Source organism: Homo sapiens, chromosome 9 (assembly GCF_000001405.40).
Source record: "Homo sapiens chromosome 9, GRCh38.p14 Primary Assembly".
NCBI classification, from domain to species: domain Eukaryota; kingdom Metazoa; phylum Chordata; class Mammalia; order Primates; family Hominidae; genus Homo; species Homo sapiens.
This window is the reverse complement of record NC_000009.12, coordinates 36,737,942-36,761,101: the sequence shown is the minus strand read 5'-3', so window position 1 is coordinate 36,761,101 and position 23,160 is coordinate 36,737,942. Positions and strand designations below refer to the sequence as shown.

Sequence of the window (23,160 nt, the reverse complement as noted above, 5' to 3'; positions counted from 1 at the left end):
GCCAGGCCAGAGGCAGAAGGACCCCACCCTGCCCGACCTTCAACAACATCTCGTGAACCCCTTCCTGTGCTAGACCCTAGAATCGATCCTGAGGCACTGACTCAAGTAAGAGTTCCATCCCATCTCAAGGCTCCTCACAGGCTTCCAAGGAGCCCATGGGTTACAGTGGTTAAAAGCACAGGTTCAAATCCTGTCTCTGCTATTTATGAGCTGTGTGATCTTACACGAGTTTCCTACCCTCTCTGTGCTTGTTTCTTTGTTTCGTCATCTATAAAATGGGAACAACAGCAGCTACCTTAGATGGTGATTTGAAGAATAAACGAGATCACGAGTGTGAAGGTGGTTAGGACCTTGCCTGGCACATTGTTAATGCTCAATATTATGCTCCCCGACCTGGTCCCTGCCCTTGGAGCAGCCTCCCTCAGGTGGATGTCCACAGCCTGGTGCTCCTGGCCTGTCAGGGAGCCGGCGAGCAGAGCCAAGAAGGCACAGGCTAAGTTGTCACCCAGATGGGAGTGTAAGACATGGCTCCACCAACTGGCTGTGTGAATTTGAGAAAGATACATGTGAAATGGGCCATTTCACCCAGAACCAGCGGAGCCTTTGTTTTCCCTTAGGACAAGTGGGAGGGAAAGAATAATTGTTCTGCCTGCCTCACAGAGCCTTGTGAGGATAGAGCAAGATAGTGGGAGTTCAAGTCCTTTGTGGGCTGAAGAGGGATTATCTAATCAGAGCCACCATGTCCAGGGAGGCAGTTGGGGGGACCAGGCTTGTATGAGCCTAAGGACATGCACAATATACAGGAACCCTGGGACAGGGGGAGAGTGGGGGATCAGAGGGTCACAGATGCCTGACATCTTGATCAGTAGGGCCTTGGTGAGCTTGGAGGGGCACACCCTGCTGAGACCCCATCCTCTGGCCCCAGGTGCTGATTTCCCTGCCTATCTCCCCAGTGCCTGCCGAGGTCGCCATGACAGCAAGTGCCACTCCCGAAGATTCACCCTGGCCGCAAGGCTGTTCCTATGCCCTTGAATCTATTAGACAGAGCAAAGTGATTAATTATTTTACTGTCTTTATGGCATCAACTTTAACTTGCTTCACATCCAGATTTCCAATTACATAAGCCAGAGTCTTAAGCTCAGGAGGACGTGTATTATTGAACTATTTATAATCAGAGTTTTTCAGAGCAGAAAAGCTCTGCTAGGTGGGAGCTACACAGCCAAAATTAATGATTTGGAGACCAAGGGGCAATCTTTCCATAATCAGAGGGGTGTGAGATGCAGGCAGGGAGAACAGAGAGGTTGAGTCTGAATCAAGGATGGCAAAGCACTTTCTCCTGAAGGACACAGAGCCCCAGGGGAAGACATCAATTGGTGGGTGGGGGTCAGGGAGACACACTCATGCCAACAGCAATCAAATGTACCTTGGGGAATTATTCTTTGAAGACAATGATGCGACCTAGGTTACCCCAACCACACCAACCCTGGGTGTGAAGGGGGTCATTATGGATAGCTAATGCTTCACTGTTTCATTGTGCCCCCTCTACCTGATAATTCTGGCTGTCTAGCTGCTTCCAGTACCTCTTCAAGTATTTCTGGAAAACTCTTATGTTTTTACCAGTTATCCTCTCAGCTACTGCTTCTCCTCCTTCTTCTTCAGCTTTCTGCCAAGTCATGGGAGAACGCAGCCCCCCCCCCCCCACACACACACACACACTGCCTCTGTGCCCGCCTTGAAGCCACCTCCCACTGGGCAGCACCATCTTCGCCACCATTATCTGCACCCTGGATGGTCCACAGCCAGCCTGCGTCCCTGTGGGGACTGCCTCTCCCCCACTTTGGCATTGTTCCAAGGAGTCTTGTGTTCCAATATTTTTCAGAAGTTTTATTTGGACCAATCCCCTCCCCAGAGGCTCCAGACACAAATCCATGATAGGCTTGGACCAGGAGGAAAGTTCTCCTCCTGACTGGTGGGTGACTCAGGCTGGTTGCCAGGCTTAGTTTATCAACCTGGCTCTCCTTGCCACAGGCAGATTCCTGGAGGACCCTCCAGTCAGTCCCCCAGACAGGCTCAGCTCAGGATCAAGTTGGGTAGCTGCCACAGGACCACAGAGGGAACAGAAGCTGTGAGATTGTTTCTATTTGTTGAGCTCTAGGTATATGCCAAGTGTTGGGCCAGGCTGTGTCCTCACAGCACCCCATTAGGTACATGCCATTAGCCCCATTTCACAGATAGTAAAACCGAAGCTCAGAAAGGTTGAGTAACTTGATCTGGGTCCCATCGCTAGAAGATTGTACCAGGCTCTACCAGGATCCATACCAGTTCTATTGAATGCTGTTTTCGTCCATTTGAACTGCTATAATAGAAAACCATAGACTGGGTAGCTATAAGCAACAGAAATTTATTTCTCACAGTTTTGGGGGCTAGGAAGCTGAAGGTCAAGGCATCAGCAGATTTGGGGTCTGGAGGGAGCCAGCATCCTCGTTCACAGACACCTGTCCTCTTGCTGTCTCCCTACATGGTGGAAGGAGCAAAGAAGTGCCCCCAGGGCTCTTTATAAAGGCACTAATCCCATTCAGGAGGGATCTAATCACCTACCAGAGGCACCCCCCCACTCCAAATACCATCACCCTGGCGCTAGGATTCCAACAGATGGATTTGGGGGCCTTTGGTAGGTTCAAAGTTTTGACTCTCCCTCCTGCTGCTTGTTTAAGAGCACAAACTCAACAACTTCTTACCAGGACTTTATTTCATAGAAGAAATAAATGTTTTGTTTATTTGTTTTCTTCAAGGAAAGCAGAGGGAAGAACTCTCTCCTTGACAAATGTGGGCACTGGCTTGTTCCCTCCTGGAGTGTGTGTTTGCCAAAGTAAAGCTGTAGTCTTAAAAAGACTACCCAAGAAAATGTATCATGCCTTCTTTAAAAAGCTGTGTGTGTGTGTGTGTGTGTGTGTGTGTGTGTGTGTGTGTGTCCATAGAACTTCTTCCATTTCTTCCTGAGCACAGAGCTGGACTACATTTCCCAGCCTTACTTGGCGTTGGGCATGGCGTGTGACTTGTTCCAGCCAATGGAATGAGAGAAGACCCTTGTGTTCTAGTTACCGCTCAGTCCACAAAAACCTCCCCCAAGTGATCCTCATGCTCATTCCCTTTCATCAGTTTGATACAAATTGGTGTCATGACTGTGGAAACCAGAGGTTGAAGGGACAGGGCAAGGAGGTGAAGGAGCCTGGGTCCCTAAACCAACACTGAAGAAGGACCACCCACCTATCTAGAGTTGCCAGAATTAACAAAAATGAAAACAAAACATCTAGGTAGGTTTGAACTTCAGATAAGCAATGAATGCCTTCTTAGTATACATCCCAGCTTAGGGGCAGAGGCAACCCCAGCCACCTTTCTGAACCAGTCCTAGATGCTTAGAAAGCCTGAGTAGAGAGTTATCACTTGGAAAAAATTATTTGTGGTTTCTCTGAAATTCAAATTTAACTAGGTGTCATATTTTATCTAGCAAACCTATACCTATCAGAACATGTGTGTGGTACTTTACAAGTGAGACATAAACATCTGTTGTTTGAGCCATCATATAATTAGGAGTTTGTTATAGTAGCCAGCATTACCTTAGCTAATACCCTATCACTCTCCTGAGGCATCAGATATTACATAGTCCAGGCAGATGAGCTTAGTCTAGCCTGGTCGATGTACATGCAGCTGTACATATCATCAGCTCTTCTTGCCTGGACTACTCTAGTTCAATAAACCTTTGGGGTTTTCTCCCTTCCATGAACACATTTAGAGCACCTGGAAGGAAGAGAGGACTAACTTGGTTCTTGCCCAACCCCCACCCCCAGGAGCTCTCCACTTAGCGTAACCACAAACAGGTACAAACTAAGTCTCAGAGGGCTCAGAGATTAAGTCATTCAGGGATGACAGGAGTGTGGGGGAGGATTTGGAGAACAGTAGCAGCAACACTGGGTCCCTCCTGGAAACGTGGTAACAGCCACCATCTTTGACACCCATAGAGCAAGTGCCTTGGTGGACAAATAACCAGCCCTTCCATGCTGGGACTGGCTAGATGAGGAGCTGTGAGGTCAGGAATACAGAATCTTGTAGTTGGATCCCGGGACCCATTGTGGGGGTTTCCAGGGAGTTATTTCTAATGTGGCCCAAAATAAAGAGCCAAGATTTTGGAGCTTCATAGACACAGGTTCGAGTCCTGGCTTTGCTGAACTATATGACCTTATTATGCAGTTTATTTCACCTCTCCAAGCCTCAGTTTCTATCCCCATACGATGAGATAGCTCCAAACAAGTACAGCAGGATTACCCAAGGTGATGAACCGAAAGTGTCTAGCTCATGGTTTGTGCCTAGCAAACAATACTTCCTCTCTGAGGGTCTGGTTCCTGAAGAAGAGAGGTGAGGGGAGCCTACGTTTTTTATTATTCCCCAGTTTCCACTAATATGCCCGTCCTCCACTCCCACTTCCTTGGAACATGGCCTGGAGACCACAGCAACCGTGATTGGCTTGAAGGAGCTATGTTTCTGATGCCTCTTTCTTTCCAATCGATGACAAAAGAGTTTCCATCGCCATAAAAATTGAGTTTCAAATAGAAGCTGGGTTCCAGGCCAGCCCCCAAACCAGCCTCATTAATAATATTGCTAAATCCCTGCCCCTTAATAGCAAAACAGACTTTAAGTGGGTAAGCCTGGAAACTCAATCGCTACTTCTAGCCTTGTTTCTTCAGGCCTGAGCCTTGCTCCTTCAGAAGAGACCCCCTTGTGAAATTCACACCCCAGGGATGGCAGGTGGGGCCTGAGCTCCAGCATCCAAATGCTCATTTCCAGCGCCCACAACTCACCTGCTGCTGGAAACACTCCTGTTGATTCCTCCGGAGCCATTACCGTTCGTCATGTTTATCTGCATTTAGGTGCAGTGGGGATTCATACACTTCAATCTGTCTTTGCTCATGAAGCAATGGCCCAAAAAATGGTAATGACACCTCTGACGCTGCAGCATTACTGCATTCCTCACAGAGAGGGTTGCCAGATATAGCAAATAAGAACAGAACGCCCAGTTAAATTTGAATTACAGATAAACAATGAGTTATTGTGTAGCGCAAGTATGTCCCACCTAAGCATGGGACATACTTATACTTACTAAAAATTCTTCATTTATCTGCAATTCAAGTTTAACAGGGCATCTATATCACAACTCTTTCTCTGCATCCTTCTGGTGCACCTGGGCCATACCAGCTAGAGAGTGTTCACAGTCAAGCAAGCAAGAACTGGGGTGGTTGGGCATCTCCCTCCTCGGCCAGATTCCAACCTGGCTTTCTGTGACACCTGCACCCATCCCAGCCTTCAGCAATAGGACCCCTTGCTTTTCCCTAAACACACATTTTCCTCCCCACAGGCTTTTGCCCACACTCATCTTCTGCCTGGATTATCTGTTCCTCTGTCTCTTTTTCTCTTCTACCTTCCTGCTCTTTCAAAGCTGAGTGCCCAGGCCACCTTCTCTATAACATGCCATGCTCCCCAGGCAGGTGATTCCTTCGCCCTCTGTTTTTCCACAGTGCCCAGTGTCCACCACTCTCTTAGGACAATGAACACTTTCACTGGAGCAGCTGCTCTGTGCAAAGTTCTGTGCTAGGCTCTGAGGCTGGCAGAGATGAGCAGGTCACAGACTCTGCCCTCAAGCAGCCCAAGATCTATAGGGGAAAAGAGATATGGATGCAAATAGCCATAGAGGAAACCATTCTGACTGCAAGGCCAGTCTCTAAGTGCAAGCTGGAGAAAGCAAATGGTAGAGCAAGGAGGAAGCAAAGCTCCATTTCATCTGGGGGTGTTGGGGAAGACTTCCTGGAGGAGGTGGAATGGGGCTACGGTAGGATGAGTAGGAGCTTCAACAGGGGACTGGAGTTCCAGGCAAGGGAGTAAATCAGCAAAAGCGTGTGGCCAGAAAGGAAAGGACTTACCTGGAGAATAGTAAGAAGTATGGGCAGCAGAAGTGGGGGTGTGAGTGTAGGTGTGGGTGATGTGAATATGAACCCAGAGCTGAAGGCAAGGTCAGGGTGGGGGGTTGCTGAATGACCCCAGTCTGGGGTCTCTGGATGATGTTCTAAATCGTCAGAACAATAGTGACTGACTGTTTTATACTTACCATGTAGCAAACATTGTGCAGGGCACTTTATAAATGTGTTATCTTATTTAATTTACTTCTCCCTTTAGCCCTACAGGGGAGATTTTGTTTTCATTTATAAATAAGGAAAATGAAAAATCAAGGGCTTTGTCGAAAGTCACATAGCCTGATAACATTGGAGCTTGAACCCTGATCTGTTTGATTCCAAAATCTGTGTTCCACCCACACCATCCTACCATCCCAACGACAATGGAGTGTCATCACAGACTTTGAGCAGAGATACGTTTGAGGCTTGGAACTGGCTTGGAAGGGGAGTGGCTGCAGATGGGTGAACGAACTGGAGGCTGATGTCACTCCTCAGAAGAAGGCGATAAGTCCCCGACGCCCACTGGGCAATGAGATGGAGATAGGTTTAGTCAACTCATCTGGCAGGGCTGAGCCCAGAAGGCCCCTGAACACACAGTTTTCCTTTGCTTCCCTTCAAGAGCACCAGTGGGCTTCAGGCTGTGTTCCAACAGCATCAAACTTTTCTTAGTCCCTAAGCTTCCCCAATGCCCTCGGGGTAAGCCCAGTGCACCTGATATCTGCCCATGAGGGGAAGAGGCCAGCACTGAAGGAGAGGGACCCAGCCCCACCCTCTGCCTTTTAGGGTGACCAGCCATCCTAGTTTTATCAGGACAGGTTGGGAGAGGTTCTCAGAGTCAGGGACTTTCAGTGCTAAAACTAGTAAAGTCCCAGGCAAATTGGGATGAGTTGGTCACTCTACTGCCCAGCGAAGACATCTGTACAGGCCATCCATGCAGGAGGGTGACAACTGCAAAGGAGGCTAGGACACTTTGGGGTGATTAATGTTTGCAGTTGTCATCCTCCTGCACAGATGCCTTCAAGTGCCTTCACTTCCTGGTGGCACCTGGAAAGAGGGGGATATTTTTATTGTGTCTAGATTCAAAGCAGATGAGCTGAATTCTCTACAGTGAAGTCAAGACTGCACGTGGCTTTGTGTTTCTGTGTTTCTCTGTGTCTATGCGTGTATCTGTGGAAATGTGCACAAGAGCTTGTGTTGGGATGATGTGGGAAATCCTCAACTATTTACGTGAAAATAAATATCCTTATTTATTTAGAGGGAATAGAAATTTGCATGAAGATTATGTCCAAGGAAACTCATCTAGCATTTTTTTCTTAGAGAAAAGAAAAAGGAAACTTAAACATCCAAAACTAGGAAAATAGTTAAGTTACGAAACTTGCATACAATGAAATATGGCATACTCATTACAAACTATATTATAAAAGAATATGTGATGACAGTGGTAAATATTCATGGTGTATAAAAAGAAGTTAATAACACAGTATACGTGATGTGACTGTTTTTTAAATAGACTTTGTTTTTTAGAGCAGTGCTAGATACACAGCAAACTGAGCATAAGGTGCAAAGAGTTCCTGTACACCCCACATGCCTGCACACGCACAGCCTCCCCTGCCACCAATGTCCCCACCAGAGTAATGCATTTGTTACAATTGATGACCCTGCAACGACACATCATAATCACCCAAAGTCCATAGTTCACGTTAGGGTTCTCTCTTGGTGTTGTATATTATATGGGTTTGGACAAATGTATAATGATATCTATCCATCATTAGAATATCAGAGTAGTTTCACTGCCCTAAAAATCCTCTGTGTTCTGCCTACTCAACCTTCTCTCTCCCTCTCTCCTGGCAACCACTGAGCTTTTTACTCTCTCCATAGTTTTGCCTTTTCCAGAATGTCATGCCGTATGTACCTGTTCACAGTGGCTTCTTTCACTCTGTAATATGCATTGAAATTTCCTCCATGTCTTCTCATGGCTTGATAGCACATTTCTTTTTAGCACTGAGTAACGTTCCATTATACATTGTCCAAGATCATATGGCAAGGTGGAGCCCAGCAGCCCCCTGAACACATGCACCATGGTTTATTTATCTATTCACCTACCAAAGGATATCTTGGCTGCTTCCAAGTTTTGGAAATTAGGAATAAAGCTGCTATAAACATCCAAGTTAAGGTGTTTTTGTAGACAAAATAAAATTTCAATTTTTCAGTTCCTTTGTTTTGGGCATACACCAAGGAACATGATTGCTGAGTCATATGGTAAGAGTATGCTTCATTTTTTGAAAAACCGCCAAATTGTCTTCCACAGTGGCTGTACCATTGTGTATTCCCACCAGCAATGAATGAGAGTCCCTGTTGCTCCACATTGCCTGCTCTCCTTGTAAATCTCCATCACGGGACACAAATCTGAGATGTTACCTGACATGTCTCCTTGTCTCCCCAGCACCCCCTTTCACCTCACAACCATCATTCCCCATGAGAGCGTGTCATGCTCCAGTCCACTCCCACCACTATCCCTTGGGGTAGTTGTCAGAAAGGACCAAAGAACAGAAGTCCCAAGTTCTGAGGTTTTCAGTTCAGGATCCACAGTCTAGGTGTAGGATGAACAAATTAGGAGGGGCCATGACCCACTAGAATCAGTTATCCCCTGCCCACCCCGACGAGATAAAATGCACCCAGGCCTGGAGAGGAGGAGAAGTCTGCAGATGAAGCTGTAGCTCAGTTGCTGGTGTGGGACAGCCCTGAACTCTGCCACCTACTCCTTTGGGCCAAATCTCACAGGAGGGGAGAAGATGCTAAAAGCCCCCAGATAAGTGTGGAGCCGCCAGGACACAGAGCTCCTGGGCCTACACCTAGTGCTGCCAAGGAAGCAGTCACTGGAGAATACGTGAGTGACATGGTTCATCTAGACATGAGAGGCTCAGGGTAGCCCCGACCCCTCCAGTTCCCTGCAGCCCGGAACTGCATGGAAGGACATTCAGGACATTCTCAAGACTCCCAAATGGGGCACTGAAGTTGGCTGGAAGCGGTCATGAGCCAGGGAGAGGTTCGTGGCTAGGACAGCCCTCCCACGAAGGGCATGGGCAGATGCGGCCACACCCAGTGGGTTTCCAGCCCAAAGGGGCCACTCCTGCCCAGGCCGGAAGGGAAGAGGCACAGTCCCTTCCTCACCACTTAGCCTCAACCCAGAAGGTGGGATGGAGAGAAAACCCTGACAGGGGAAGCAAACCTGAGTGTGACAGAGCTCAGCTGAGAGCATCAGGAAGTCCCTGAATAATTATGACTTCAGTAAGAAATCGCTACTGATTGATTTCTGTGCATCAGGCAGAACAGGAGCGCAGGATAGAAGGAAAGCCCAGTTACAGAGAAAGTCAAGTTACATTTGGGTGCATCTACTTTGAACTACAAAATTCCTTCCCGTGGACTACACATGCCTATACACTCATCAGCTGGAAGATCTGGCCTTAAAATGTACACTGTGGTTAATAACACCAGGGATGGCAAGATTCCCAATTATTTTGATATTCTGTGTTTTTGCTGAATTACCAGGACCCCCTTGGTAGCTGGTTTCTCTGAAGTCTCCAGGGAATCATGTCAGGACAGAGACCAGCCTGACTGTCTAATCTTAGCCCACAGGAGTGGATTTGGTCACCTCCTCTCCCCAGGCCAACTCCCAGAATGTTTGGAGATTTCCAGAAGGGTTGTCTAGGCTTAACCTCTCTCTAAACAGCAGCATCCTTCCCTCCACTCACCCATCACTCTAACAACACACATCCCGTAATAAGCAATGGGAAGCATCAGCAAGAGAAGCCAGAGGAACAAACTTACAAATGTGACCTTCATCCCAATTCAGAGATGTGTGCCCTCCAAGGTCTTAACCAGTGACCTCTTGGGACCACATATGACCAACCTCGCACCATCATGGTCAGAGGGCTCCAATCAGGGAGGCTTAAGAGCCATTGGGATCATTTGCAAAGCCCGGCCTTAGGAGAGAAGGCAAATACCAGCACTGCATAGAATTACACATGTGCAGAAGGTGAGGAATCCCAGATCAGACCACTCTATTCTCTCCAGTCTCAAAAGAAGGTCACACAGTCTCCTGAGATGAAAAGAGAACACAAAATAACAACAATAAAGCTATCTTACATCAAGAATTTGTACTCCCAGCTCTATGCAAGTTAATCTTTGCATTTTTAGCATTTCATTCTTACAACAACCTATGAGTAGGTACTTCTATTATCACTAAGTGCCTGAATATCCTGGTTTGCCAGGACAGCCCTGGTCCACGCCCACTGTCCCAACGTGCTTATTAAGAGTGCCAACTTTCACTCTCAATAGTGTCCCCATCTGGATGACTTTAACAGTCACCCTAATTATTATCCCCTTTTGTAGGTGAAGAGACGGAGGTTCAGAGAAGTTAGGTGACCTCCCCTATGTCACACAGCTGGGATGTGGTGGGGCTGAGACTTGGATGAAGTCTGTCTGACTCCAGGGAGAGCCAACTCTCCCTGGTAGTGAGGTGCAGTGAAGAAGGGTACAGCCAGACAGGGGAGGCAGGGGTGAGATTACCACCCCCCCTTTCAGCTTTACATTCCGAATATTTCCGAATAGACGTGTATCCCCTTTTGCAAATCTCCCCCTAAAAATAAAAGCCAATACAGTTTGTGATTGGGATATTCTCACAGACAAAGACAGTGAGCATTAGAAGAACAGAAGGAACACAGTCCAAGGTGTGTAGAGCTCAGGGACTCTCAGCTCTGAGACCATGTGAAGGAAACCACCTCCCCCAGCCTGCTCAGGCAGCATCTGGCCAGGTGCCCCAGAGCCCTGTATGTCTGTGCAGCCCCTTCTGCACCTGCCGTTGGTTGGGGGCTGGCAGAAATGCAGCAGAAAGGGCCCTGCGGGAGTGCCTGCAGCCTGGTGGCTGTTCTCTTCCACTCTTCCTCTCTGAGTGACATCTCTTCATCTGTGAAATGGACCTGGTAATCCATGACCTACCTGCTTCCTGGAGTTCTGCAAAAGGGAACTAAAAGGAAAAGCTGTGTTTAGGGGTATTTTCTAAAAGCCCAACCACAGGAGCCAACCAAGCCATCAGCATCCCTCTACCCAGTGAACACTGTCCAGGCCCTGTGATGTGGTCACCAGGGCCCACATGTCCAGAGCAGGCTCAGCTCAGCTGTGGGGTGAGCGGCAAACAGGGCTCATTTGGTTTGGGGTGATACGTTCTCCTGTTAATAGGAGATTCCCAACCCATTCTTTTTTTAAATTCCCCTCATAGAAGGTGTTGTTTTTTTAACCTTCAAGTAAATTTAAATGTAGTTCCCACCTGGGAGGAAAAGAAAACTGCAGCACTCAGCTCATAGTGTATTGATCATGTTTCAGGCCAGACACTCCAGCTGCAACATGGAAAGAGGAAGTGAAGCTGAAAGGATGGCATTGACGGGGGGGGCCCCATGGCGCAGGAACAAGGGCATGATCCCACTTTCAGCCCCTCCACTGGAAGGTGACCCCTCCCAGCTGAGGCAATGCACACACAAATCACCAAACCTCCCATGGAAAATAAATCTTTCCTCCAGGAGCACCCTCTCCCCTTGCACCCTCTCTAACAGGAGGCAGCATGGCAATTTCCAGAGGAATTTTACTTTGAAATGACAGTGGGACAGAATGGGGGCCTCTGGGCCGCTGCTGGGAGGACTCCATGAGACCTCTCTGCTGAAGAGAGATCCCATAGTTTCTATAAACAGCATATGAGGCTGGGCAATACATGGAACTGGGTTAGGAATCCAAAGGCCCAAGTCTGGAATGTGAAATCTGTACAACTTAACCTCTAAGTCTCAGTTTCCTCATCCATAAAATGGGACCATTAAACCATACTCTGACCGCATCCCAGAATGGTGAAGCCTCTCCAATCCACGAAATGGTGGGGAAACTGAGTCCCATAGGAAGGGGTTTCATGATTCACCTACCCTCCAGCCTAGTGCTTTCTCCTTTATCCCTTCCCCTCTTTTCATACTCTCAAAAAAGATGCTCTGTTACTTTGTCACCAGAACACCATTCTTGTCATATCTGGAGTTTGATTCAAATTAATTTAGACAGAAGGTCTTTGGAGCTATTTTGTCCCCAATGAAGGATGCCCAATTCCTGCCCTCCCCACTCACAGATTCTGCACAGCCTCTCACGTGTCAGTCCACCCTGGGTCACCCCTTCTCACCCATGAGACATCTGAGGTCACACTTGACAAGAATTCCTGGGCCACTGCAAGGGCATGGCTCAAAAGAAGCCCAGTGCTTTTCTCAACTCACCTTCTCAAAAGTGCACCCTTATCCCCACAAAGAAGCCAGGAGAGCAAGGTGATGCCTCCGAGGGATGCCATTTACAGACAACCCTTAGCAGTGACAAGAGCAGGGCGATGACCTTCATAGGAATCCCTCGTAGTCACATTTCAGCCCTGGCCCAAGACAGGCTCCACTGACTCCTGGACATAAATTACTTGTTCATTATCAGGCCCCGACATGGGGAAGGATGTCGGCAGCTCGGTTGTGTCTGGCGTGGTGGCAGGCATTCTCAGGCTGGTCTGCCACTGTCCATGGTGCTGCTTTGTATGGGCCGGAGCTGCTGCCGTCCTCACCAGGCAGGCTCAGGCCGCGAGCCACCCACCAGCTTCGTGTTTCACTCAGGCAGCCCTAGAGTCTTGGGTGCCGGGTGGCAGAGAGAATACACAAGTGCACACAACAGGGTGGCCAGGGATAAATGGAGATGGAAATTCAGCACCAATGTCAAGCCGCAGAGTCTGACTTAATACTTAGAGCCACCACTTATAGAGCCTTTGCTATAAGCCAGGTACTAGGCTAAGTAATTTTACATTAGTTGGGATCCTTTGGTTGCAAGTGACAGAAACCCAGCTCCAACCAGCTAACCCAAAAGGGAAATGTTATGGGCAGTCCCTCAAATACTGAAACCACAGGAAAAACAGGAATGACGCTGGACCACGAGATAACTGGAACCAGGGATTCAAGGGCAATCCAGTGTCTCTCTCTCCTCCTCTCTGCTTCTTTCCAGGTTGTTCTTTTCTTTTTTTCTTTTTATATTTTTAGACAGAGTCTCACTTTATCACCCAGGCTGGAGTGCAGTGGCACAATCTCAGCTAACTGCAACCTCCACCTCCTGGGTTCAAGCTATTCTCATGCCTCAGCCTTCCAAGCAGCTGGGATTACAGGTGTGCACCACCACGCCTGGCTAATTTTTGTATTTTTAGTAAAGACGGTGTTTCACCGTGTTGGCCAGGCTGGTCTTGAACTCCTGACCTTAGGTAATCCGCCCACCTTGGCCTCCCAAAGTGCTGGGATTGCATGCATGAGCCACCACACCCAGCTGCAGTTGTTATTTTCTGATGGGTCAGCTGTACCCCACCCGGGCAAGACCAGAACCCAATGTGCAGCCAACTTCAAGCTTGCATCTTTTATCTTTACAACAGACAGGGGAGAGCCCTTCTTTCTCCAGCTACAGTATAAAATCCCAAGGACAGACTCTGATCGGCTGCATTCAGTCATGTGCTCTGGCCAGGGAAGTGCAGTGCCATGACCTGCAGCCCTGAGAACAACTGGGAGCACTTCCTGGGAGAAGGGAAATGCTCAACTGGGCAGAAAAACCATAAAGTTCACACAGATGTTGCACACATTATCTCATTATTCCTCACAACCATCCTGTGAAATAGGCACTATTATAATACCCATTTTGCAGGTGAGGAAACTGAGACTCAGAAAGGGTAAATTATCTGCCCACTGTCATCCAGTTAGAAAGTGGCAGGGCCAGGGATCAAATCCAGGTCAGCTGGACCCCAAAGCCCAAGCTCTTTGCCTCCACTCATGAACATAGACTTGGCAACTTGAAGGAGACACTGGAAAACCTTCCCAGTCTTAAAAATGCTGAAAGGTCTGAGCTGAGGGTTCGGTTCCTAGACAAGGAGACATGGTGGGGATGGGGAAGGGAGGGCGGAGCAAAAGCAGAGTCCTCGGTCCACAGGCCTGGTCTGTGGCTTCTGGGTTGGGTCTCTTCTTTTTGCCATGAAGGGATGGTTAGGGCAGAGATTAAACCAGAGGAGAAGGTCCAAGCAATAACCCAGGTGAGCTCAGGGGCTTGTGTGGGCTCCTCCACCTTGATGGGGGTCTGCTCCATTGAAAAGCACTTCTCTCCATTGCATGCCTTTCTCCTGCCAGAGGCTTTATGCGTAGAATAAGAGGTCCTCTTGAGAGGTAGCCTGAGAGGCAAACAGGAGAAAGCAGCCCTGTATCTGGCCACTTGTGCTAGAAGGGGAAAAGCTGCAACACTGCCCTATGCCACCCCTCACCCACCAAAACACACACAGCAACAAGAGGCTCTGAGAGCAGGGAAGAGCCATTCCTCACTTTGGCCACGACTTTTTTAGAGATCATTTTCCCCCACCATCCCTCCCTCACCACATCTCTTCTCTGTCAGCTGTTTCGTGGAGTCAGCATTTTACACAATCCCAGAGAGGAGATCAAGTAGGACTAAAGCTCCCATTTCATAGAGGAGCAAATTAAGGCCCAGAGAGAGTATAACTTTCCCAAGGACACACAGCTAGTATGTGATTTTAATATTTTTGTCACCGACATCAACATCTTCTCTTCCCCAGATAAAATAACAATAGTTCAGTAAAACACATAGCAATATTTACTCAATCTCTGTAAAATTGTGCTGGCATCTTTCCCCAGGTGGGGGCTGGGGTGCAGCAGGGGCCCCTCGGGGCTGCCTTTGGTTGTCTGGGATACACAAGGAAGTCTCAAGTGAAACTGCAGTTACCAGGGAGGATTGTAGAGCAACTCGCCTGGGCACTGACTCTAAGGGGAACATGGAGACCTGAGCCTACCAGTGTCCGGGCCAGGAGGACTGAGGCAAAACCACAGAGGCAGCCTTGTCACCGTGCAGATGTGGACGCTGAGGCCCAGTGGAGGGGGTTTGCCTGGGTGCATTCAGTGCGGGCACGCATGTGGTGCTCCTCAGCTCTTTCCGGTGTCCCTCTGTATCCAGAGAAGCCTTCCCTGATCTCCCTGCCAGAATGGACGCCACCTTCCTCAGAACCTCCCCGCGGCCTCCTTACCAGCACTGCATGCTATTCAATGCCTGATGCCTCATTCTCCCTCTGCCAGCCCAAGAACTCCTAGAGGGCAGGATGTGGCTGAGTCTTGTCTGCTTCTCCCCCCAGGGTAGACAACAGTTGCTTAACAAGAATTCGAGATGGCCGGCACGGTGGCTCACGGCTGTAATCTCAGCAATTTGGGAGGCCGAGGCGGGCAGATCACGAGGTCAAGAGATCAAGACCATCCTGGCCAACATGGTAAAAACCCCATCTCTACTAAAAATACAAAAATTAGCTGGGTGTGGTGGTTGTGCTCCTGTAGTCCAAGCTAATCAGGAGGCTGAGGCAGGAGAATCGCTTGAACCTGAGAGGCGGAGGTTTCAGTGAGCTGAGATCATGCCACTGCACTCCAGCCTGGTGACAGAGCGAGACTCCCTCTAAAAAAAAAAGAATTTGAGGAACTGGAGCACCTCTGGGTCAAGCTGCCCGTGCTGAGGGATCCCTTCTCGCTCTAGAAAGGTTACTATCTGGAGTAAAGACTCCCCAGAATCCTGGCTTCAGAGCAGAATTAATGCAGAGAAACCCACCAGTGCCTGGGATGCCCAGGAGTCACCAGGGCCTCAGCTTCCAGGAGCACTGCAGCCAGGACTATGCCTGGCCATCATTCTGCAAGATGGATGCCTCTGCCCAGAAAGCACTGCAGGGCAGCGAGGGCCAAGGGACTGTCTAATCCAACCACATCCTCATCCCTAAGCAGATAAAGCTGTCAGCCCCTCTTCTACAACCGCATCTAATTCCCAGAAGCCAAGCCCAGTGCTTGGCACACAAGAAGGGCTCTGCCAAATTTGCTGAATAAATAAAGAAATGTACCAAAGGACAGCTGAATTGGTCAGGAAGGAAATCTAACATTTATTGAATACCACCTTTGATAAGCTGAGTGCTCCTCATAGCTTACCTCACTTAATACACAACCGCCATCCTCATAAAGAAATGACCCAACCAAAGCTCAGAGAGAAGAGGTGACATGCCCAGTGTCACATCTGACCACAGATGGGGCTGTCCAGTCCCCTTGGAATCTACAGGGAGAATGCCCTGAGGACAGGAAGTGACCTCAGAGGTGTTCACCACTCTCTCTCAGTGCTCTGCACAAGGCCTGGCTCAGAGGAGATGCCCAGCTGTCCTGTGAGGTTGTGGCTGGAGCCATGATGTCACCTGGTTGGTAGCAGGGGGCCGTTCTCAGTGGCAGGGAAGAGACTCAAGCAGGCACGTCCCAGGCTTGGTCCCAGGGCCAGGAGATCTCCTGAGGCAGAGCCCCTCCCCAAGGGCTGCTCCTGCCTCCCCTTCGCTGGCCCTTGTAGGAAGCGCCCTGTGTTGCTGGCAGAGGGCTTCCGCAGCCAGAGTCCCCGGGCCAAGCAAACCCCGAGGTCCCCAAACTTTCCACTTCCATAAAGTGCTCTGATCTTGTCAAATTGCTACCAGAGGAGTCATAGCTGAGTGAGCACTTGCCAGGTTCCCGCGGCTCTCCCGAGAGCTGTCACCGTCCTCATCCATCATAATTGAAGCAGTCCACCTGCTCCGGGCCCATCTTTCAACTGCAATGATGGCTGAGATGCGATAGATGTGTCTTGTCATCACCTTGACTTTTTTTGGAGAATGCAAAGGTCAGTGGGGCTCCTGGGGTGGGTGAAGGTGCTATGGGCCCACCTTAGTGCAAGCCTTGACCTCAGGGTGGAGGGCTGAGTGCCTCTCTCACTGAATGCCAGTCCTCACAATGGCCATCAGCTTTGTCAGGGCCAGAGGAGAGCTAGAGCCTCCCTTCACCCCAAGACCCTAGGTGCCCACACCTGCCTACCATCTGGTTCTGCAGACAGACTCCAGAGGGGCAAGGGAGTTTGGGAGGCACTGGCTTCCAAGATACCTAGACCTGGCTGACCCTAAGATACAAACTTTTACATGTGCCTCCTCCCAGCCCATACCCAGGGTCACAAGCCCTGGATTTGCTTGTCAGGCAACAGAAATAGTTGTCACTGGTTTTCTGACCTCAGGTCCATAAATTCAAGCAATGAGTGTGATTAGGTGCAGAAACACAGACTTCAGGCTGTATTGCCTCTAGGACTCCAGCCCCAGATGGGCCAGCAGAGTCACCTTCCTAAGCAGAGCTCCACCCATTCATGGTCCTCCTGCTCAGAGGCTGCCCAGGGCTCCCTCTGCACGCAGAAGAAAGACGAAACTCCTTGGCCCGGCACTGAAGGCCCTGGGCAATGTAGCACCAAAGAAGCAGGCAGCTTGAGGAGCAGTAGGTGCTCCAAAAAGAATCAATGCCCACTTCATTTAAGAAAGAAGTTCATTTTGTATCCATCAGAGACGCCCAAGATACAAAGCAATGTCAAGGGAAGAATGAGCTCCATGTCTCCAGAGACTTCAAGTGCAGCTGGATTATCTCCAGGAAGGCTGCTGCTGGGGCTCTAGAATGAGCTCAGCATTCTGAGAGAGGTGGAGGGGTTGAAGTGGGCAGCCCTGTACATCCCTCCAGCTGTGAGTTCTCTGCCACTCCCCCTTCAGCCTTACCTGGCACTGTGACCACCTCCAGCGTTTGCTCATGCAGTTTCTTCAGGCTGCAGGGCCCTGTCCCGCCTTGCCATCTGCAGGCCCCCTACTCAACTATCCTTTGATTCAACAATACATTTTCTAGCACCCACTCTGTGCTGGGGATATGGAGATTATTAAAACATGGTCCCTGTTCCCAAAACCCCAACCAGCTGTCTCCCTCCTCCCACCTGCCAGGCTGCTGAGCACAGGCAGCCAGCATCAGGCGACTGTGCGGGCCAGAGCACTGCTCATTCTACCCACCCCTCCCACTAGGAACCACGGGGTCCTCTTCTGTCTGCGCTCAAGGGTGTGAGCAGGCATGGGGGTTCTGGACAGCGGTGGGGAGGAGCATGGGGTAGCACAGGCCGCAGTTTATGGGGACTGGGGACTCTGCCTGGGAGAACCACAGAGCCCCATAGTCCCAGGTCTATACGGGGCCACTTCTCGACCCCAGAATGCCCTGGGGCCAGGCCCCTAGTCTCAGTCAATTCAGTGATTTCAGCCAAATACCAGTTTATTCTCCTCAGATCTGAGTCACGGCCCCTTGCTTTATCCCAAGAGGTCAGCCCCTAACAGGCAGAGGAATCGGGGCCCTGTAGCTCATCTGTGTTGAGATATATGCGCTTGCACTCTGAGCTCTAATGCCATAATCATCTTGAAAACGTAAGGACCTTCCCTCAATAAGGGGATGTTCACCTGAGCAAATTTATTCTCCTCATTGGTGCTGCATCCTACGCACTCCTGCTTACCTAAGAAGGGTTCTGGGGCCCCAAGGGGTGCCCATAGACTGGGCAGAGGGAGGCACAGAATGGGAGAGGCTGGGACAACAGTCCCCTTCCCTCCTCCCAGTCGTAGTGAGAATCACTTACAGAACAGTCCGGAAGAGTGCTTCTGCCTCTAGGAGCCCCAGATCAGAGCTGTGCACCTGCCCCTTTGGGGGAGGGGTAGGGAAGCTGCAGTTACCAGCTGCCATACCTGTCGGGGGAGCTCAGGATCCATGCAATGGAAGGCATTTTAGCTGATCCCCCTTGGAGAGGGCACTGCAGGTCTGAGCAGAGATTCCCGAAGCAAGGACTGGAGACAAAAAAAAAAAAGATACATGGATGAGAGGGTAGCTCGGGGTAGGAATTTCTTCAGCTCTCTACCCTCTTTCTCCCTATTGACACAATCAACAGACGTCAGTGTTCAGTGAATCTGTCATAAAAAAGGTTCAGTGGCATCTGTCATTTTTCTTAAGACATAAACTCCCCATCCTAAAAGGAGAAGCCTCCATGTTTACTCCATCTCATCCATTGAATCAAACAGCAGAACAAGGGCAGTGCCACAGCTGCCTGACCTTGTGCTGGCCGGAGCCCCTTCTGATGGCACATGCTGTAGGGAACAGGGGCTCCAGGATTGAAAGGGCGACCCAAGGTCCAGTTGGACGGATCCTGCTGGTTGCTTAGTTAGCGTCCCCATATTCGTTTCCCCCTTTAGCCTGTGAAACTCACTGAGAGCAGAGTGAGGCTTGGTCACCTTTACTTCTCCAGCACCTAGCACTGAGAGTATTAGATATTTTAGGCACAATCTCCTGATAGTAGTTATGCCTTAATTTTGTATAGTACTGTGCTTTTAAAAGCACATTCCTATCAAGCACCTCATCTTACCCTTAAATCTCCCCTTTTGTAGTAGTGGGCCAAATATTATCCCCATATGATAGATGAAGAAACTGAGGTTCCGTGAGGTTCGGTTAAGTGCCCACACTCTCCCATGCCACCCCACCTAGAAGCACACGTCTAATCAGTAGCAGCATCTAACCAGGCCCCTGCTCTGAATCTTCTTCCAGTGGTAAATTCTGCCACACCAAAATGACCCAGGCACAGCTAGAAATCTTTGAGAAACACCAAGGCATGGGAAAGTTGCCTGACAACTGTGGTCTGGCAAATGTTATTCTGGTTTGTTTTAAAGGAAAATAAGGAAGATGGCGCAAACTAGGGACCAGTGACCTTGACATCAACCCAGTCAAGACTGACGGTTGTGAGCAGCAAGGGACAGACATCAGTAGGAGGTGGCAGGGCCTGGGTGAGACCTTGGCATCCACATTTGCCAAAGTCAAATGCCCATAGACGATTACAATCAACCATGAAAATCTGTGACCAGGAAGTAGAATTTAATGTAGCGGTGTAGAAACCTTTGGTTTCTATGAGTCCCCTGGTTCTTTCCCTCCCTGCCTGCCAAGTGTTCAATGTTTGCCTTAGCTAACTTCTTTTAGCCATGTCTCTCTCTCTCTGTGTGTGTGCGTGTGTGTGTGTGTGTGTGTAAAATGCTCTAAATTACCCAGTGCCAGCCGCTGCATCCGGGGCTCAGGTCCTGTTTCTTAATGATAACAGATGGCTTTGAAGACGCAGTGGATCAATAGGGTCTGAATTCCTAAACTCTTGACAAGAGCTGGAGAGAACACACATCTCAATGCCCGCCCCACAGAAGCAGATGGAGGCCCTGTCCCTCACAGTCCTTCTTCTTCCATGGTCAGGTAAGCCAAAGGTGGGGCCCCGTGGGGTCACTCCGAGAGAGGGTTCGCCATCCTTGGTCCACTGTGTGGCAGATGGTTGCCCCATGCATTCAACAAACATTCAGCCATCTTATCTGGAAAGGGTTGTGCTTGGTGTTAGGGCAAGGGAGACGGAAAGAGGGAGGAGATGGTGAGGCCTGGCCCCTGTCCTAATGGAACTCAGCACTGTGAAGGAGACCCCACCATACAGAATGATCCCAATCCAGGGTGAAACAATCACCTACCGCTGCGTGCTGCTGTGGGCTGGACGTTACCGCCAGCTCTCAACATGCACCCTCTCATTTGGTCCTCAGCAGACCCTGGAGGAACTTGCTGCTGTCATCCCCAGAAGGGGAGGCCAGTGAGGTCATCTGGCCAGGGCTGCAGAGCTGGTGAGGTGGAAGCAGGATTTGGGCCTGGAATCCTCACCCACCACAGATGGATAAAGCTTCAGAAGAGAGGGAAATTACCTGGGCCTGGAGGGAGGGGGCATGGAATCAGGGAAGATGAGACTTGTGGGCTAGACCCTGGAGGACAAGAAGGATTTGGGGGAAAAGAGAGAGAGAGAGAACAGTCTAAGTAGACCCCATACCTGAAGCAAGGGCAGGGGGCAGGCAGGAGAGGTTCAGGAAATGGAGAGAGGCCACTCAAGAGAAGGACTAGTGGAGGCTGAAGCTGGAAAGGTGGTTCAGGGTCAAATGAGGCAAGCCCAGGGAGGGGAAGGGGATTTTCCTGAGTGGGGAAGAGGGAGCCACAGAAGGTAAGGTCTCTATGCGGGAGAGTCACCACCAGGGCAGTGAGCCCAAAAGAGCAGCCTGCAGGTTGCATCAACCACGAGACTGAATCAGAGAGCGAGGCCAGGCACGGAAGGCCTGGCCTGTGTACCCTGGCTCCGGAGCACCCCGCGTGGCCCCGCAGGTGCCATGGGAGGAGGAAGGGGGCCAGGAGGAGGCAGCCGGCTCCCCTCCACAGGTAAGTGATTGGATTAAGAGGCCTGTCTGACAGGATGTCCGTTCAGCCGCGGAGGCTAATCAACTTCCCCATCCTGTCTGCTAATAAATCCTGCTCCGGGGACCACTCTGCCTGATGATCTGTCCTCGGGGACCGGCGCAGCCTTCTCCCGGAGAACATCCCGCAGTCTATTAAGGCGGCCGCCGCGCGCTGTCAGGCCTCCGTCCCGGGGAGTCTCGGGAGGTGCCCATCACCCAGGTGCGCCCGCCGGGACCCCAGCCTTTGTGCGGCCACCGCGGGGGCTGACAGCCGTCCCGCTCCGAGGGGCCCGGACCCCCCAACCCTGGCGGCTCCGAGCTGCCGCAGGCTCTGCGTGCATAAATTAGGAGGCGGCGATTGTGAGATCTATAATATCTATAGAGAAGACGTATAAATAAATTAAAGCTTTAATTATTTTCTTGGATTCGCTGTAGCGCAAGAGAGCTAGTGGAAAGCTGTCGGGGAAGGGGGGAAGGACTGATTCTCTGAAGCCGCTCTAGTTTTTTTAGCTGCAGTGATTTTTTTCTCTCTTTTCTTCCTTCTGCTCCCCCAACCCCCAAAAGGCAAGAGTTGGGGCGGGGAGACAGTGAAACAATGTCCTTTGTTGCTCAAGATAAAAAGTACATGCCTTTTGACTTGCTTCCAAAACAGATGCCCCCCCCCATCTCCCACCCCCACCCCGACACACGAACACACACCACCAGCTTTCCTTTCTGTGAACACTGTCTATCCCACATTTTTATCAGTTCTGGAAGAACCTCCAAGGGCGTTATTAAATATGTGAAATACGCCAGAAATATTCAAGCAATCCCCATCTGGCCCTGGGAGGGAGGAAGAAAAGACTGGGAAAGTAATAAAGTGTGTTTATTTTTTAATCTAGATGACATGTTTTACATCATTAAAAAGGACAATTATTTTTAAAAATCAGCCTGCACGCTTCGATGGTTCAAGAGGTCTGCCGCCCCAGAATCCATCAGAACCTCACTCCACAGCCAGGCCTGGATCCACCCTCAAGGCCAAGTTACATTTTAAAACATTCAAAACCATGGAGGCAGTTGTGAGTCCTTTAGAAAGGCCTCATCTCTAAGGAGCAGGAAGGGAGGGGCCGTCTTATTACTGAGTCACGTCTTATTACTGAGTCACCTGGAAAAGAGGGTTTCTGATCCCAAGGCTCAGAGGATCTTAAATTCAGGCAGAGTTTCGAAGCTTGGTGGAAGTTAGATGGAGTTTGAAATGGCTGAGCCTTCGCCAAACCACCAATATCTCTGAAACAAAACACCAGTTGTCTCACTATGAAAACCCTGCAGACAGATGGCTCTCCAGAGCTGGAGTTCCCCCCTTTGTGCTGCCACTGGTCCAGGGCCACAGCCTAGTGAGGGGAGCAGCCAGGACATGGTCAAGCCCAACTCCAACAGCAAGCTCCTAAGACGGTTTCTCACCCTGGTCCGTTTCCTCTCTGCCCTGGACACACGCCAAGAGGTCAGTATACTAAAGTGTGGGTCTCTTCAAAAGCACGCATCCCTTTTCACTCAGCAAGTGGATTTCTAGGCATGCAATCCTAGACATGTAATTGTCAGTAATCAGAAAAAAATTATGCAAAGATTAGTCTCAAGTATGTTCACCACAGCATCATTTATGTTTGGTCAAATCACATGAAGTTGCCATTTTTTAAGTCAAGAACAGTCAAATGTTAGAAATTTTATGTTGTTCAGTTTAATAAAATTAAAACATTAAAAATACTTTTGGCCAGGTGGGGTGGCCCACGCCTGTAGTCCCAGTGCTTTGGGAGGCTGAGGTTGGAGGACTGCTTGATCCTAGGAGTTCAAGACCAACCTGGGCAACATGGTGAGACCCTGTCTCTACAAAAAAAAAAAAAAAAAAAAAAAACTTAGAAAATTAGTTGGGCATGGTGTTACACACCTGTGGTCCCAGCTACTTGGGAGGCTGAGGCA

General features: G+C 49.7%; 3 annotated features.

The window, feature by feature from the left end:
• Positions 4,324–4,530: a silencer, noted in NCBI's record as "fragment chr9:36756569-36756775 (GRCh37/hg19 assembly coordinates)". NCBI's record gives its function as "represses an EF-1alpha promoter that drives an FKBP-Casp9 reporter gene in an ReSE screen in K562 erythroleukemia cells {active_cell/tissue: K562}" and the evidence as "EXISTENCE:reporter gene assay evidence [ECO:0000049][PMID:32094911]".
• Positions 12,536–12,655: a silencer, noted in NCBI's record as "silent region_19897". NCBI's record gives its function as "represses an Ori minimal core promoter by ATAC-STARR-seq in GM12878 lymphoblastoid cells {active_cell/tissue: GM12878}" and the evidence as "EXISTENCE:reporter gene assay evidence [ECO:0000049][PMID:35858748]".
• Positions 21,498–22,697: an enhancer, noted in NCBI's record as "MED14-independent group 3 enhancer chr9:36738402-36739601 (GRCh37/hg19 assembly coordinates)". NCBI's record gives its function as "activates an origin of replication core promoter dependent on BRD2, BRD4, P300/CBP and CDK7 cofactors, and independent of MED14, by STARR-seq in HCT116 cells {active_cell/tissue: HCT116}" and the evidence as "EXISTENCE:reporter gene assay evidence [ECO:0000049][PMID:35650434]".